We start from the raw sequence: 18,316 nt of genomic DNA on the forward strand, positions 1-18,316 counted from the left end.
AAAATTATAGAAGATGGGAATGTTATGTAATATTCTATTACAGACTATTCTCTGATATTTAGAATGTTCCACTGATTTTAGGGAGTATATATATATACACGTATATATATATACTATATATACTTTTTTTTTTTTTTTTTTTTGAGACAGAGTCTCGCTCTGTCGCCCAGGCTGGAGTGCAGTGGCGCGATCTCGGCTCACTGCAAGCTCTGCCTCCTGGGTTCATGCCATTCTCCTGCCCCAGCCTCCCTAGTAGCTGGGACTACAGGTGCCCACCGCCACGCCCGGCTAAATTTTTTTTGTATTTTTAGTAGAGATGGGGTTTCACCGTGTTAGCCAGGATGGTCTCGATTTCCAGACCTTGTGATCCTCCTGCCTCAGCCTCCCAAAGTGCTGGGATTACAAGCGTGAGCCACCGCACCTGGCCTATTTTTTTTTTTTTTAACTACTCTCAGTGGATCATATAAGCTTTCAGTTGCTACTCATCCTTGGGCACTCTGCCCTCATCTCTATTAGAACTCCTGTTATAGTACTTTACTTCATTGCCACCTCTATAGTCTGGGAACTCCAGTATATAAACAGTGAAGACAAGAGACCAGTCTGACTCGCTCTATTGTATCTCCTGTGCTTTGCAAGACAGATGTCTGGCTCTTATTAAGTCCTCCATAGTGGTTAATGATTGTACCTATTATAGCCCTCCCTTCATCTGCCTCTCCATACTATAGGAAGCACTCAAACACTTGCAGTCACTCAATGAATGAAGTTCCTTAATGGTAGGAAATCTTTTTGTATGCCAAGTTTCTATCTAATGAAACTGTCTTAACCCGCGAATTGAAAGTACTTTTAGGTGATGATGGATATGTCTGTGCCCATGATGGTGGTGATGGTTTCATGGGTGTATACTTATCTCCACACTCATCATTGTATACATTAATTATGTATAACTTTTTACATATCAGTTATACTTCAATAAAATGTTTTTTTAAAAAGTACCTGGTGGCTGGGCGCGGTGGCTCACGCCTGTAATCCCAGCACTTTGGGAGGCTGAGGCAGGCGGATCACCTGAGGTCGGGAGTTCGAGACCAGCCTGACCAACATGGAGAAAACCCTTCTCTACTAAAGATACAAAATTAGCCGGGCATGGTGGCACACACCTGTAATCCCAGCTACTTGGGAGGCTGAGGCAGAAGAATTGCTTGAACCCAGGAGGCAGAGGTTGCAGTGAGCCGAGATCATGCCATTGCACTCCAACCTGGACAAAAAGAGCGAAACTCCATTTCAAAAAAGAAAAAAAAGTACCTTGTGCATTTTGTATCATTTAGGCATTGGCTGAATTTGGGCTAGATAACGGTAACGATATATTAAGTACTTTATGAAAAATTGGCCTTAATTAGGCATATCTACGTATTTTATTAACTTAGGTCACACGACTAGTGAGTAGCAGAGTAAGAATAAGGTCTTTCAGACTCTTAAGGACTAGTATCTAGAGTACTAATGTCACCGTGGAACTTTAATGGAACTATCCATTGTATATTTAGATTATTTACTTTTGTTTTTTTCAAGGTAAGATTATACTTTGTCTTGATGCAGATTTTGATTTTTTTGTTTGTTTCTTTATTCTCCTTTCCCCCATCTCACCCAATTAATTTTGTTAAATTGATTTAAGAAACATTTAAATGTCTCTGTTGTCATGGCTTCAGGTGAGGGTGGAAGAGTACACTTCTTTTATTAGAAGCAGGCTTTGGGCTTTCTAGTCAACTTCATATAGCTTTAGTGCTTTCAGCTAGTTTCTTTCTGAAATTGGCACATTTGTGTGAACTATTTGGTTTCACTATATGGTATTCCATGTTATTGCTTTAAGCAGACTTCAAAATTTGCATTTATTTACCAGGGCAAAAATAAATTGTTTTTCCTATTCAGAAATTGAGAAGATTCAGAAAGGAGACTCAAAAAAGGATGATGAGGAGAATTACTTGGATTTATTTTCTCATAAGAACATGAAACTGAAAGAGCGAGTGCTGATACCTGTCAAGCAGTATCCCAAGGTAAGGCAAAAAGTGCTTTGGATCTTTGAGTTATCTTTATAGTTATGAGAGAGTCATGGGCTATAATAAAGACTCCTGGGGATTGTGATGCTTTAGAAACTTAAGCCTGTGAAGCTTCTCTTTCATGCTTGTAGTACCTGTTACTGAGAGTTGAAATATCTAAGTTCTTAACTAATAACATAGCTATAGCCAGGAAGGAAATATAATCATCTTTTTATTATCAAAAAGTTTCTTTCTCAAATGATTGCTCAGGCTACAAGTTCAAAGAAAAAAAAATTAAAACCTGAAGAGTTGCTCTTTGTCAAAAGACTAACCTGAAATCTAAATAAAAGGAAATATAATATGAATCCTCAATTGGTTGAAGTTAATTTTATTTTCTTACTAAAAGTTTACTTTTAAGTAAATGCTTTTTTTCTTCCTTTTTTTTTTTTTAGGAAAGCATTTAGTTACATTTAGTTTATCCAGCGTGTTATCAAAGGGTGCTATATAGTCTCTTCTGTTCTGAGGTCACTGCCTTAAAAATGTTGATGTATGTTAAGTGCTGGGCCAGGCACAGTGGCTCATGCCTGTAATGCCAGCACTTTGGGAGGCCGATGCAGGCAGATTGCTTGAGCCCAGGAGTTCAAGACCAGCCTGAGCAACATAGCGAAACCCCATCTCTACAAAAAATACAAAAATTAGCCTGGTGTTGTGGTGTGCACCTGTACCCAGCTACTCTGGAGGCTGGGGCAGGAGGATCACTTGAGTCCAGAAAGTTGAGGCTGTGATGAGCCATGATTGTGTCACTACACTTTGGCCTGGGCAACAGAGTGAGAGCCTGTCTCAAAATAAAGTAAAAAATAAAATAGTAAAGGTCTTAATGTATTATGGAAGAGCACCAGAATACATCAGAAAAGCCAAATTCAGGTCTAGGAACTGCCACTTTCTAGTTTCATAACCTTAAGCTAATCACTTTATTAATATGGCTTCAGTGTCCTTCAGTAAAATGGGAATGGTAATACTCTACCTTTGCAGGGTTGTTTAAAATCAAGTGAGGTAATTTATGTGGAAATGTTTTTATATAGTAGCATGTATATTTAGAAATCCTCTATTTTCTGTCAGTTCAATTTTGTGGGGAAGATTCTTGGACCACAAGGGAATACAATCAAAAGACTGCAGGAAGAGACTGGTGCAAAGATCTCTGTATTGGGAAAGGGCTCAATGAGAGACAAAGCCAAGGTAAGCTCACATTAGTGAGGCAAGAGGACATCCTAATGCCTTCTACTTGCCCAGAATGCAGTATGGATGTCTTATAGAGGCGGCAAGAATTTTGTATGTGTACAGAATGTGGCTCCTTTAAGTTTGCACTGGATGCAAGAGATTATACACCAAGTTAATTTACTTGGCTTGGCAACCCTGGAAGAGCCTAGGTGTGCCCTGGTGATAGTTTTCTTTTGGACTTTTTGACTGTGTAGTAATGGAAACAGCAGTAGCATGTTGCGCATTGGTAGGATTGTCTGTGAAAACTTGAAAGGGGAACTGAATATACTAAAATTTAGTCTAAAGCAGACAAAAGACGCTAAAATGCAAATAGCACACCCCCTTTTTTGTAACCTGGAAAAGTGAGAACAATAATGTGAGAGCAGATGAGTTTGAGGATTAGTTGGTTTGTTTTATAGCCGGTTTGGAATGTGAGGCTCACTAAAAGAATGTATTCCAAAAGGAACCATGAGTAATCCTGACTACAGAATCTAATGCGTCTTTTTTTTCCCCATGCCATAGCCGCGTACGCTGTGTACTCTGTGACAAGAAACTTCTCACCAAAACAGAATAGTCTTAGCCTTCTGGGGTCACCTTATTTGATGAGATATTCCTGCTACAGTCCAAAAACCAATTCTTTCAACCCTCCTTTTATGTAGTCTAATGGACACATGTTTGTTTTCTCAGGTCATTTCTTGCTAGATGCATATAGTTACGGCTGAAGTGTGTTCTAACTAATGAGATTTACATGAGCTTTTCTTCCCTCTGTCCTGACTTCTTTCTTCCCCTACCACTCCCTAGACCATATAAGCAGATAAGCAGAGCTCGTGGTGATTAACAGCTCTACCTGTGATTTAAAAACAAATGCTTGGCAAACAGCTATTATCTGAATAGACTAGAATTAAGTTTTTCTTCTTTATGCTTTTAGTAGGAGCTCCAATGGATATCTCAGGGATTTAAGACAACAATTAACTGTAAGCAGCAGACCATGTGCAAGTTTAGCAGGCTGTGCAAATTACTGTTCTTGAGAGTTTGTTTTACTTTTTTTTTTTTTCTTGAGAGGGAGCCTTGCTCTATTGCCCAGGCTGGAGTGCAGTGGCTCACTGCAACCTCCACCTCACGGGTTCAAGCAATTCTCCTGCCTCAGCCTCCTGAGTAGCTGGGATTACAGGCGTGCGCCACCATGCCCGGCTAATTTTTGTATTTTTAGTAGAGACGGGGCTTCATCACATTGGTCAGACTGGTCTCGAACTCCTGACCTTGTGATCCTCCCGCGTCAGTCTCCCAAAGTCCTGGGATTATAGGCGTGAGCCACCGCGCCTGGCTGCTTGTTTTACTTTCTTAAACTTTACTGTTTTTCTTTTTTCTTTTTTCTTTTTTTGTTTAATTCTTCTCAGCTCATACCAATTAACTTTACTGTTTTTCATGGACATTAGGGGTATTTCTTGCTGTTCCTTTGGCTTAGAGGTAAAGGTGGTGTTTTCTCCCTAGTCCATGGTGTGACATTTCTCTGCATTTTTCCATAGGAGGAAGAGCTGCGCAAAGGTGGAGACCCCAAATATGCCCACTTGAATATGGATCTGCATGTCTTCATTGAAGTCTTTGGACCCCCATGTGAGGCTTATGCTCTTATGGCCCATGCCATGGAGGAAGTCAAGAAATTTCTAGTACCGGTAAGGAAATCCATATCCTGTGTCTTCTGAGCAAAAGAGAACTGGGATCTTATACTGTTGTGAAGGTAGGGGTTCTTAACTAAGGTCTCTGCATAACCTGTATGTATACCAAATTCTGCACTTATGTTCATTTTCCTTAGGTAGTTCGTTACTTGCACCTAGTTCTCAAAGCATTATGCTCCAAGGCCACTCTATCCCTCCTTGTCTAATGTGGTTTTCATTGTGTACCGGTATCTTGTCAGTATCTCGGGTCCACAGTGTGCCTGCATTCTGATATTTGGTTAACTAAGGTTTAACAGGGTCTTCACCTAGCTGAGTATTTTGGTAGTAGTGTGGAACAAGGAGATTGTGTTAGGAAAGTGACTAAGGTGGGTCTCTGCACTCAAGAAGTTCATGCTGTAGAGAGTAGAGACTAGCAGCAAGAAGCTTATAGCATCTAGTGTTATTGGGTTAAATTCTGACCTGAGCACACTCAGGGATTTCTTTCCTGGAGGAGTTTGCTGAGGACGAGTTTAGTTTGGAAGAGGTTGACTATTGATGTTTAACAGATAGGTGAGCAGCTTTTTTCAGACTATTACTGAGGACTAGATAGAGATGGGACAGGCCAGTTTATCTATCTTGCTTGTTACCACCTTTGAATACTTGGTTGGAATATTACTTTGAATAAATAGGAAATGGTACTATTTTTGCCTTTTAGCAAGGCCTGGTGGTTGTCAGAGTTAACATACTACTGTTGAATATTTAATAACAAGGATGAATCTGGAGACTTATGAAGGATTTGGAATATTATTAAGTAGAATTGAGTAAGCGTCATGTGTTCATCAGAAAACTAGGAGGAGGTAAGATACAGTCCTTGGTTTTCTTGAATGTTAAATGAGGGAATTAGAACTAAATGTGGTGTCAGATGATGTGAAAATTGATAGGGCAAAAATTTATAGGCAGTGTGGGCCAGGCACGGTGGCTCACGCCTGTAATCCCAGCAATTTGGGAGGCCGAGGAGGGCAGATCACCTGAGGTCGGGAGTTCGAGACCAGCCTGACCAACATGGAGAAACCCTGTCTATTAAAAATACAAAATTAGCCGGGCGTGGTGGCACATGCCTGTAATCCCAGCTACTAGGGAGGCTGAGGCGGGAGAATCACTTGAACCCAGGAGGCAGAGGTTGCGGTAAGCTGAGATTGCACCATTGGACTCCAGCCTGGGCAACAAGAGTGAAACTCCATCTCCAAAAAAAATAAATAAATAAGTTTTTAGGCATTGTGTACCCATAATGCTGAACTCCAAGGATTCCAACAGTCTCAAATGTCTTAGCAGCTGCTTTGCTTTCAAGTACCTCATCTTCATTAGAATGTTCAACATGAGGCAGGGCGCGGTGGCTCACACCTGTAATCCCAGCATTTTGGAAGGCCGAGGCGGGTGGATCACGAGGTCAGGAGATCAAGGCCATCCTGGCTAACATGGTGAAACCCCGTCTCTACTAAAAATTCAAAAAAAAAATTAGCTGGGCGTGGTGGCAGGCGCCTGTAGTCCCAGCTAATCGGGAGGCTGGGGCAGGAGAATGGTATGAACCCGGGAGGCGGAGCTTGCAGTGAGCCGAGATTGCGCCACTGCACTCTGGCCTGGGTGACAGAGTGAGGCTCTGTCTCAAAAAAAAAAAAAAAAGAATGTTCAACATGAAACAGACCATTTAACATATCCTAGAGAAAAACACAGCTGGTTAATAATCTTAAGGAAATTCTTTTTACTCTTTTTGGGGTGTTCTATTGATCACCCAAGCCATTCAATTTCCAAAGGACTGCAGAGGGAATGCCCATCTCCTCTCTTCATTGTTAGTCTCCCTCATATTCCTCAGAAGGGTTAGGTTTATGAGGCTTGCTTGTAAGTGAATCTTTTGAAAAAGATGCTTGCCGGGGAGATGTGGGTTTCCTCAGTGTTGATGTGGCAGTTGGAGGAGTCTGAGCAATGGTCTGGCATTGGTTACTTGATTCTCCAAGGTGTGAGTCTCAAGCAGCGGTAATGTGTAAGGTAGGAGGAGCTAGAGAGTTGAGGGGGGCATCAAAGACTAGCATCATCTATTGAAGCTGTATACGCCTGGGATATATAAAAATGCATGAAGTATTAAGACTGAATGGCTCTCAATAGGAAGTGTGAAAAGATTTGCCAGTGGCATTTGATTTTTCCCTCTTGTGGAGGAAAGAAAAGTGAGGCTATTTTTGCATCTGTGACCAGAGCCCTCCATTTTCCACTTAGAACAATTAACTATACCAGCAATGCTTCACAGTGCCGTAGGAAGAGCACTGGACTATGTATGTCTGTCTATCTGTGTCTTCCTGAACAGGTTATCATTTCACTTTTCTGAGCTTCAGGTTTCTTGTTCGTCCCAAACATTTCTTAAGTATCTGTCAGATGTCTGATACTATGCTTGGGTGTAAAGTTACAAAAATGGCTCCTAAAGAGCTTACAGTTTAGTGACAGACAATTCTAAAATTATGTGGTAAGTGCTTGGGTATAGGGAATTATGTGGTACTTTGAGAAAAGAGGAGTTGTAGGGGTGGCATCAAGAGAAAGTTTTTCAAGAGACACTTATTTAGGCAAGTCTTGTAAGGATGAATTAAGAATCCCTCAGGTGGACAAAAAAGACAGTATAAGGACAAAAAAGCCTGTTGATCCAACACCTAGATTTTGAGACAGGTAATTCTGAATTCACATCTAGAGTCTGCCATTTATTAGCTCTGTGTTCTTAAGCTGGTTGATGTATACTCCTTGAGTCTGTTTTCTTAACTGTAAAATGTGGAGATCTGCCTACTTATTTCAGGGTCATTTTGAAGATTTTTTTTTTTTTTTTTTTTTTTTTTGAGATGGAGTCTCTCTCTTTCGCCCAGGCCGGACTGCAGTGGCGCTATCTTGGCTCACTGCAAGCTCCGCCTCCCGGGTTCTCGCCATTCTCCTGCCTCAGCCTTCCGAGTAGCTGGGACTACAGGTGCCTGCCGCGCCCGGCTAATTTTTTTGTATTTTTAGTAGAGATAGCGTTTCACCGTGTTAGCCAGGGTGGTCTCGATCTCCTGACCTCGTGATCTGCCCGCCTCGGCCTCCCAAAGTGCTGGGATTACAGGCGTGAGCCACTGCACCCGGCCCTCATTTTGAAGATTAAACTGAAAAATCTATATAAAGCTTATTATATAGAGCCAAGTGCATACAGCTCCATTAATGGTAGTGGCTTTTATTATTCCAGGAAAAGGAAACTATTTGCAAAGAATGGATATGTAAGAGTATGCCAGGCTCTGAACTACAAGTTGTTCAGTCTGGCTTGTGAGTAGGTTATATATAGAGAGAGAATGGAAGTGATCCGGAGAGCTAGGCAGAGACCACATTATGAATAATGAGGGGTCTACCATCAAGACTTTTCTCAAAGAGGTGACAGATAGGGTGCCATTTGACTTCAGAGAAGGAATGACCTGAGACCTCATCTGGGCTCTCAAGAGCTCTTCTTAGAATTCAAGTCTCCCGTGGACCAGATGATTTCTCAGTAGAAAGTGTAGATACCACACAATACTCCTTGTATCTTTCGTTCCCAGGATATGATGGATGATATCTGTCAGGAGCAATTTCTAGAGCTGTCCTACTTGAATGGAGTACCTGAACCCTCTCGTGGACGTGGGGTGCCAGTGAGAGGCCGGGGAGCTGCACCTCCTCCACCACCTGTTCCCAGGTAAAAATAATGGAGACACCCAGAAATAGGATGTGAATTTGACTACTAGTGTCATCTCTTTTAGTGGTGCTCTTATGTCTAGCTTAGGAAGGGTCTCAGGATTTGTATGTTGCATAAAGAACAGAATTCTACAACCATACTCTCACACCTGTAATCCCAGCACTTTAGGAGGCTAAGGCAGGCGGATCAACTGACATTTGGAGTTTGAGACCAGCCTGGCCAACATGGTGAAACCCTGTCTCTACTAAAAATACAAAAATTATCCAGGTGTGGTGGCATACACCACACTACTCAGGAGGCTGGGGCAAGAGAATTGCTTGAACCCAGGAGACGGAAGTTGCAGTGAGCCGAGATCATGCCACTGCACTTCAGCCTGGGAGATAGAGCAAGACTCCATTTCAAAAAAAAAAAAAAATAGAGTTCTAGATCTTGGGCACTTTGACCATAGCCAAGTGCTGCAGTCTAGCTGAAACTTTTGGTCTTCTAATTTTGGACAGTCTTAGCATTTGTTAATGGTCTGACTTTAAAATTCTACCTTTTGTGACTGACCTTTATAGAGTATTCAGACTCTCCAGACCTACCCAAGGCAGTGCAGTGATGAATTGGTCCTCTATAGGACCTGGGGGATCTTGCAGTGTGGGTCCTTTACCCTGTACATTCCTCTGTGCTTTAATAATAGCCTAGTTAAGGCTTCATAAAATCTGCCTAATTCCAGAATTTGTAAACAAATCAGAACATAAAAGTGGCCTGTTTATAAAAAGCTCCATTTAAGATAAACTTTCATTTTGTAGGGGCCGTGGTGTTGGACCACCTCGGGGGGCTTTGGTACGTGGTACACCAGTAAGGGGAGCCATCACCAGAGGTGCCACTGTGACTCGAGGCGTGCCACCCCCACCTACTGTGAGGGGTGCTCCAGCACCAAGAGCACGGACAGCGGGCATCCAGAGGATACCTTTGCCTCCACCTCCTGCACCAGAAACATATGAAGAATATGTAAGAAATTTGAACAATGTGCCATTTCCCAGTACCTAGAAGGCTGCTAAAGGAAGTTGAATGACAGGGCCTCGGTCCTTTATGTAGGTGTCATGGACTGCCTGTAAGATTTGCAATCTGCCCTCTTCTCTTGCAGTGAATGTTGAACTATTAGAAGATTTTTCCATTTTAGGCAGGGTTTTACTATACGCCTGTAGATTAAACAAGAAATAAAATGTACTTTAATGTAGTATTTTATAATGAATTTCTTACTACTAGTACTGATAATACTAAAGCTCGATTTTGTACTTTACTTCCTGCCCACACTTCTTCTGTGGCATATCATATTTGTTTGGGTTTTCTTTGTTTAGTAACCCTTTCTCTTTTGACTATTCTACAGTAGGCATTAACATTTTGGAGGGAAATGTCATGTCCTTTTAATTCAGAAGCCTACTTACTCCCATGGGATGTAATTACCTTTCCTACTCTCTATGATTTTGATCTTTTATTTCATTTTTTTGTTGTTGTTGTTCTAGGGATATGATGATACATACGCAGAACAAAGTTACGAAGGCTACGAAGGCTATTACAGCCAGAGTCAAGGGTGAGTCAGGCAGTATAAGCACTGTTTTTTGTCCTGAGGATGGATGGAGGGAGTTGGAGGAACAGAGAGATTTAGACAGTACAACCCTAAGGAGCAGAATGGTTCGCCTTTTGAGGGTATCTCCTCTGCAACCCCCACAGTCCTGACTGGTCTTGAACTCTTGAGCTCAAGCAGTCCTCCCACTTTAGCTCTCTCTAGTAGCTGGGGTTACAGGTGCGTGCCACCATGCAATGCTTTCCTCTGCGTTTGACATCTGTGAAGCACACACTTGGATTTGTAAATCTGGATAACTGTGAACCTTAAATTATAATTTAGAACCTGAGAGTAACAAATGAAAAATTTCCAAGCTGTGACTACATGGAAACAAGGAGAAATGCCTTTATGTTATTTTGATTTATTATTTTAAAATATCAAAACCACATTAAAGCTCCATAAAATTTTACAAGAAACTTGAATTCCATTACCATAACTTAGGTTCTTTTCTGCATTTCTCTTTAAGACCATTTCCTTGTGTGTCCATATATATAGCTTACCTGTGAATTGATTGAAAAAGAGTTCCAGAATTCTACAGCAGTGATAAAACAGTTCTTTTTTCCTTCTGGTGAGCCCTATGAATACATGTATATATATGCTATATTAAAAGGGTCAATTTAGGATTGTGCTTTTTCACTTTATATTCTGTGGTATCCATTTTTCTTTGCAATAGTTGTCAATTATTTTATAAGTACATAGTCTATACATATTTTGGAAATACTTTACGGTTTAGGGATGGGGCAGAATGAGTATTTTCCTGTATTAATACACTTAGTAAAATGACTGACTTATGGAAGTATTTGAGAGAAAGTTGAAACATAGTTACTCTGTAGCTTCCTAACACTCTGCCTTTGGCTTTCAGGGACTCAGAATATTATGACTATGGACATGGGGAGGTTCAAGATTCTTATGAAGCTTATGGTATGTCTTTATCTCTGTGGTGGGGCAGAATGTACAAGTAAGTGCCTGGGAGAATGCTGGTGACTAAAGTATTGAGAGTCAGACAAACACACCTACGGATAAACCTTTAGAAGGCCAAGATTTTGCTAGATGTGACAGTAAGAGTTCTGCTCTTGCTTAAATTTTGCGGTACATGGTAGAAAGAGGGACTGCTAAAGTGAGGTGGGGTATCGTTACTCTTGGAAGGGTAGTGTTTGTCTTAAACAAGGGCTCAAGACCAGCTTGGCCCTGGTTGGAGCAGCAGACTTATAAGCTAATGTTATTTTTTTTCTACTTTAGGCAGGGAAATAGCTAGACCTGGGTTGTATTTCTGGGCCTTTGCTGCCGATATCTAGGCCACTTTGGTAGATAACAAGAACTTAATCGTACACAACTGTACTCATCTACCCCATTTCATTAAAAAAAAAATTTAGATCTCATTGAAAAGAATGTCATTGTAAAGGAAATGTCAGCTGAAAGGGACCTAGATGGCAAGCAGCTAGCCAGACCAGGTTGCGGGGCAAGAATAGTGCCTATTAGGGCCGGGCGTGGTGGCTCATGCCTGTAATCCCAACACTTTGCGAGGCCGAGGCAGGCGGATCACCTGTGGTCAGGAGTTCGAGACCAGCCTGGCCAAGATGGTGAAACCCTGTCTCTACTAAAAATACAAAAAAATTAGCCAGGTGTGGTGGTGGGCGCCTTTAATCTCAGCTACTTGGGAGGCTGAGGCATGAGAATCACTTGAACCTGGGAGGCGGAGGTTGCAACGAGCTGAGACCGTGCCATTGCACTCCAGCCTGGGCAACAAAAGTCCGTCTCAAAAAAAAAAAATAGTGCCTATTAGAATCAGATTAGAGGCTGTAGGGGCTAGAGCCAATAATTCAGGACAGTACTGGCACCAAGCTCCTTGTTGGCTTGAAGACATCAACACAGTCCTTGATCCCAAGAGAGCTATGGAGGCTGCAACAGCAGCAGGACAAGGCTGCCTTCCCTGAGGTTTGGTTAAAAACACATCGCTCAAGTGTGTCCTCAAGAGCCAGTTATGGCCCTGTGTTAATAGGCCTCACTGGGAATACTATGTGGCAGTGGATGCAGCGAGAGCTACCTTTTCAGTATAAGGTATTTTCAGCATACCTGAGGGACTTCCAGAGAGTCCTTGGCAGGGGCTCAGCGATTGACAGTTCACGCTAAGATACTGGTTGACAGTCTCCCCTTATCCCTAGCTGAAAAAGAGGAGCCCCTTAGGGCCTCCCAGAGACAGACAAGCTGAGCCCAACTCAGCACAGTATGAAGTAGCCAATCAGCTGCTTGCCCAAGGAAACTGTTTTTACCAGTTTTAGCGAAATAGCACTGGACAGTTGCCAATCACTAACACTGTGTGTGATTGCACCCAAGTATTTCCCTCCATCAGTGAGGCAGTACAGTGGGGCCTCTGTATGTGTTTGACTAAATTGCATTTCTGTTTTGCTGGAGAAAAGACCAAACTGAAAGAGGCAGGCTTCTCTTTGTGCTCCTGATACGACGTTGCCACAGTTAATCCGTTCTGATCTCTGCTTTGATTAACAGAATTAGAGAAATAAACTGTCCAGGATGATCTGTATACGTCAGGAAAAAAAGAAAAAGAAACTGTCTTGTTGATACCCAGAAGCCACTTGGAAAGTGATGGACATGTGTGTTATACTAGGGGTATAATTAGGGTTCTGTGTGACTTTAGATCTGTATAGGAGTTTGAGGCCTATAGAGATGGAGGCAGATACTTGTGAATACAGGCAGCTGGAAAAATACTTCAGGGATGAACTAGCGTGTGTAAGGTGTGGGAAGAATAAATTTAACGCAATTTATTTTCATAAGAGGTCACCTCTAGAATTATGTGATCATATTCCTCAGGCTTTTCCCTGTCACAAAGGAGAACCATTTGAGGATGTGAACCACATTGTCTGGCTTCTGGCTTCTCTCACCTGTTGACTTAAGAAAGGAGATAAGGAATTATCCTTTTTTTTTTTTTTTTTTTTTTTTGAGATGGAGTCTGGCTCTGTTGTCCAGGCTGGAGTGGAGTGGCACAATCTCAGCTCACTGCAACCTCTGCCTCCCAGGTTCAAGCACTTCTCCTGCCTCAGCCTCCTGAGTAGCTGGGATTACAGGCATGCGCCACCACGCCTGGCTAATTTTTGTATTTTTAGTAGAGATGGGGTTTCACCCTGTTGGTCAGGCTGGTCTCGAACTCCTGACCTTGTGATCTGCCTGCCTTGGCCTCCCAAAGTGCTGGGATTACGGGCGTGAGCCACCGCATGCAGCCTTGGAATTATCTTAAACAGTGCTGTCAGTGCAACATTTGATTGCACATCCCTCTACCAGAGAGAGCAGTATCAGCTCTGCTGGTGGAGGGCCCCATGGAAAGTGGCCCTTGCTTGGTTTTCCCAGGGAGCTAGAGGACACTTCTCCGTAAGGAAACGTGACTTGCTGTTGCATGGAAGTGGGGCTGGCTGCCTGCTTCCAATCTGAAAGACTTCCAGAAGTCTTCCCACCTTACCTGAGGGTGCCTGCCAAATTGTTTTGGGAACAGGAAAGGCCATTGCAGACTCACTAAGATTAATGAGTTCCTCACTATCTCAAGCAAGGTGTTGGGTATCTCCAGGTTTGGGGACTGGCGTACAGATCACATTTGTCTATGAAGAACCTCGTTGTGGGAGATTACTCCAGAGTCAATGGCAGCCTTTTTAGATTTGTTCCCTTCTGTCCTTCCACTCAAAACTGAAAAATTGCCCAGGCTGCCCAAGAGGGCCAAGCCAAGTAGAGAGCAAGGAACACCAGGGGAAGTGTCAAGACATTAGAAGAAACTCAGTGTTTTTGGTGATCTTTACTATGTGACCTATCCCTGCTTATCCCTAAGTGCTGTCGCCACATGGTTTATAAACTGTCTTTGTTTTCCCCACAGGCCAGGACGACTGGAATGGGACCAGGCCGTCGCTGAAGGCCCCTCCTGCTAGGCCAGTGAAGGGAGCATACAGAGAGCACCCATATGGACGTTATTAAAAACAAACATGAGGGGAAAATATCAGTTATGAGCAAAGTTGTTACTGATTTCTTGTATCTCCCAGGATTCCTGTTGCTTTACCCACAACAGACAAGTAATTGTCTAAGTGTTTTTCTTCGTGGTCCCCTTCTTCTCCCCACCTTATTCCATTCTTAACTCTGCATTCTGGCTTCTGTATGTAGTATTTTAAAATGAGTTAAAATAGATTTAGGAATATTGAATTAATTTTTTAAGTGTGTAGATGCTTTTTTCTTTGTTGTTTAAATATAAACAGAAGTGTACCTTTTATAATAAAAAAAAGAAGTTGAGTAAAAAAAAAAAACACACAAACCTGTTAGTTTCAAAAATGACATTGCTTGCTTAAAGGTTCTGAAGTAAAGGCTTGTTAAGTTTCTCTTAGTTTTGATTTGAGGCATCCCGTAAAGTTGTAGTTGCAGAATCCCAAACTAGGCTACATTTCAAAATTCAGGGCTGTTTAAGATTTAAAATCACAAACATTAACGGCAGTAGGCACCACCATGTAAAAGTGAGCTCAGACGTCTCTAAAAAATGTTTCCTTTATAAAAGCACATGGCGGTTGAATCTTAAGGTTAAATTTTAATATGAAAGATCCTCATGAATTAAATAGTTGATGCAATTTTTAACGTTAATTGATATAAAAAAAAAAACAACAAAATTAGGCTTGTAAAACTGACTTTTTCATTACGTGGGTTTTGAAATCTAGCCCCAGACATACTGTGTTGAGAGATACTTAGAGGGAGGGAGTAGGTTTTGAAGAGGTTGATGGTGGTGGGGAGGGAAGGCCTCCTGAATTGAGTTTGATGCAGAGCTTTTTAGCCATGAAGAATCTTTCAGTCATAGTACTAATAATTAAATTTTCAGTATTTAAAAAGACAAAGTATTTTGTCCATTTGAGATTCTGCACTCCATGAAAAGTTCACTTGGACGCTGGGGCCAAAAGCTGTTGATTTTCTTAAGTTGACGGTTGTCAATATATCGAACTGTTCCCAAGTTAGTCAAGTATGTCTCAACACTAGCATGATATAAAAAGGGACACTGCAGCTGAATGAAAAAGGAATCAAAATCCACTTTGTACATAAGTTAAAGTCCTAATTGGATTTGTACCGTCCTCCCATTTTGTTCTCGGAAGATTAAATGCTACATGTGTAAGTCTGCCTAAATAGGTAGCTTAAACTTATGTCAAAATGTCTGCAGCAGTTTGTCAATAAAGTTTAGTCCTTTTTTAATCAAAGTAAATGTGATGAATTGTCATTTTTTTGGGTGGACCATAAAATAGTTTTCTCTTTCAAATAAACTTAAATTAACTCTAAAGTTAATGGGCTTGTTAAAAGTTGGAAACATTCTTAAAAGTGGTGGGGGGGATTTTATTTTAAGTTTACCAAAAAAAAGTTGATGGAGTTGTTAAGTTTTAGTTTAAAAATAACCAAAGCTTTTTCACCCCCTGGAAGTTGTTGGAAGCTGTTGTATCCAATCCTATCAAAAATTCTAATTTATGGAGAGTTTTCAACTCAACTGAGCTGAAACTTGGATTGGTTTCCATAGATAGGTCTCAGTATTTAAAAGTGCAAGCCAGCCTGGTTTGCACCTTCTGTAGAACCCCTAGGTGGCTCTAAAGTGTGACACCAAATAATTTCTGTGAGCTCAGAAGGGGACAGCATCTGCCTTTAGGCATGACAGTTCAGCCAACTCTGGGTGCCCTTGAGGGTTTCTCTTTCAATCCCAGAAATGCTGATAACTCAGCTGGGCTGGGGCAGGATTTGGCATGATAGGCTGGCTCTGAACCCCCTCCTAAGAGACCAAGAGAGGAAGTGATGGAATTGGTTGGTCCCATTTCAACTCTATGCTGATTCTCAGGGTTCTCATGGCTTCCCTAAGAGAGCCACCTAAACTGCTCGGGGGTGAAAAATCCTCTTGTATTGAAGTGCCAAGCTGCCTGCAGCAGTGCATGATGGACATTTTTTTTTTCTTTTTAAAACACACCAACAAAAAAATGTATTTGTAGATTGTGATAAAATGTAAATAACTGAATTTTCAACCATGGTTTGAAGTCAGCTTTCAGGGCATTATGTCTTGTTTTGATGAAAAGAGATCACTCTATACCCCCCTTTTTAAAGGAAAATTATCGCAAGAGAATCAGGATGTGTAAAGCTAACATGCATCGCAAAAAACCAAAGGTAACCTAAATGTCTGATTTTAATAGCACATATTTCTCTTTTACATAAACTGTGACAGCAACTTGCATAAACAATTCTTTAGCTGTTAATTTTAATGTTAAAACTTTGCAAAACTTGTTTAATAAAAATAGCTGTAAAAAGAAAAACCATATGTTGCCGCATAAATTAGCCATAACTCTTAATAATCCTGCCCATCACAAGTGAACTGTAACGTAACCTGGGCACAAAGTCTGACATCTTAAATGACACATTGTAAAATTTCAATGACTGTAGATTAGACCTCCTGCTGCACCCCAAAAGCTTTCTGCTCAGCTATTTAAAACTGTGTAAGGATGAGTCCCTGTAGGTCCCCATATTGATATTCACAATGAAACTTTACTTAAAATTTCTTAAAAGTTGCATGTTTCTCCTGTAATGTGTAAACTGCATGCAGGATCTCTTTATCTTTTATTTTGTATGTCTTTAAAACTTCCTCTTCAAAAGACTGATCTGTTATTTCTCCATTTTCAGGTGACTGAAAACTCCTGAGGCATTTCCTGGACTAGAATGGGTAGTGAAGACCCATGTCAGGTATGTTAAGGTGGCTTTCTATTAAGGAACATGGGCCTTTTATCATAACTGTAAAACAGTTATGCTAGGAGGTGGCCTGTAAGGTGGTCAATGGGTTAATCTTTTTTGTGGTCATTTGTACCTTATTTACGACATGACCACACTTACATGTCCATACTGAATTTACATCTAGTGGTTGATAAGGCCAGACAATATCAACTTAGATCTGTTGAATCCCACTCTGTTTATCCTGTTAATAACCTGATGAGGTGGTGTTCCACTTGGAGTTCATTGGTTGCAAGCAACAAAGTGGCTAATGTAAATGAAAAAGACTTTATTAGAAAGGTGTTAAGGGCTCAATGTTCAGTGCGAAGGATAAAAAATCTGGTGTGGGAACTGTAGTGGCTGCAGGGAACTGGGACAACAGTGGTAGACCACAGGAACGATCTTGAAACAAGGACTGGCTCCTTGGGCACAACTCAAACTATGTTGGGTCTCTTTCTGCCTCTACTCAAGATTCAGGTTTTAGAGAGGGAATATCAGACTGGATTAGCTGAGTCACATGCGTAAGAAAAACCAGTTCCTCAAAAGGCAGTTGGTGAGTTGTTAGGAAAGGGAAATGGATGCTGGGCAGCCCAGAAACAATTGTCCAGTAATATCCATATTTTACAGAAGTAACTTAGACCTAGTGAAGTTAAGTAACTTCCCAGGGTCCCATAATTAGTATGGCTGGTACTCAAGCTCAAGATTTCTGTTGCCAAAACCTGTCATCTTAATCCTATACTATACTGTCCTTAATCTAGGGAAAGGGTATTTCTTTTTTTTTTTTGGTTTTTTTGGTTTTCTTTTGTTTTGTTTTTTTTGAGACGGAGCCCTGCTCCATTACCCAGGCTTGGCTGCAGTGGCGCAATCTCAGCTCACTGCAACCTCCGCCTCTGGGTTCAAGCAATTCTCCTGTCTCAGCCTCCCGAGTACCTGGGACTACAGGCACCTGCCACCACGCCTGGCTAATTTTTGTATTGTTTAGTAGAGACGAGGTTTCACCTTATTGGTCAGGCTGGTCTCGAACTCCTGACCTCAGGTGATCCACCCACCTTGGCCTCCCAAAGTGCTGAGATTACAGGCGTGAGCCACCACACCCGGCTGGGAAAGGATATTTCTTATACTTAGGAGGTCCTTCATAGGGATAATTGTGGTATAGAAGAAAGGATGTGGAGTTTGACTCCCTGGTTTGTGTAGTTGGGGGCTGTGACAACAGTGAGCTTTCCTGTTAATTGAAGCCATTAAGCAACTAACTGGCTGATTTTTTCTCTGCTCTGAGGTG

General features: G+C 41.5%; 1 protein-coding gene across 5 annotated transcripts in view, besides 1 other annotated feature; it reads left to right on the forward strand.

Moving 5' to 3' along the window:
* The window catches only part of KHDRBS1 (KH RNA binding domain containing, signal transduction associated 1), a 46,983-nt gene that overhangs the window by 14,510 nt on the left and 14,157 nt on the right, over positions 1-18,316 (forward strand). Inside the window, exons 2-10 of one of the 5 annotated variants that reach the window (NR_073499.2) lie at positions 1,921-2,045; positions 3,147-3,263; positions 4,811-4,957; positions 8,533-8,666; positions 9,458-9,659; positions 10,175-10,242; positions 11,138-11,196; positions 14,150-14,342; positions 16,954-17,013. Coding sequence is in view for 2 of the 5 variants with exons in the window: in NM_006559.3 (NP_006550.1) it covers positions 1,921-2,045; positions 3,147-3,263; positions 4,811-4,957; positions 8,533-8,666; positions 9,458-9,659; positions 10,175-10,242; positions 11,138-11,196; positions 14,150-14,247 (950 nt within the window). In the remaining 3 variants the exon portion in view is untranslated. Of the gene's footprint in view, positions 1-1,920; positions 2,046-3,146; positions 3,264-4,810; positions 4,958-8,532; positions 8,667-9,457; positions 9,743-10,174; positions 10,243-11,137; positions 11,197-14,149; positions 15,501-16,953; positions 17,014-18,316 lie in introns of those variants that run through there. The other 4 variants (XR_007066502.1, NR_073498.2, NM_006559.3 and 1 more) reach the window with 4 other exon arrangements.
* Positions 16,052-16,935: an enhancer, noted in NCBI's record as "VISTA enhancer hs645". NCBI's record gives its function as "enhancer in: other[4/5]" and the evidence as "EXISTENCE:transgenic organism evidence [ECO:0001131][PMID:17130149]".

The sequence above is a fragment of the Homo sapiens genome, chromosome 1 (assembly GCF_000001405.40).
Source record: "Homo sapiens chromosome 1, GRCh38.p14 Primary Assembly".
NCBI lineage: Eukaryota > Metazoa > Chordata > Mammalia > Primates > Hominidae > Homo > Homo sapiens.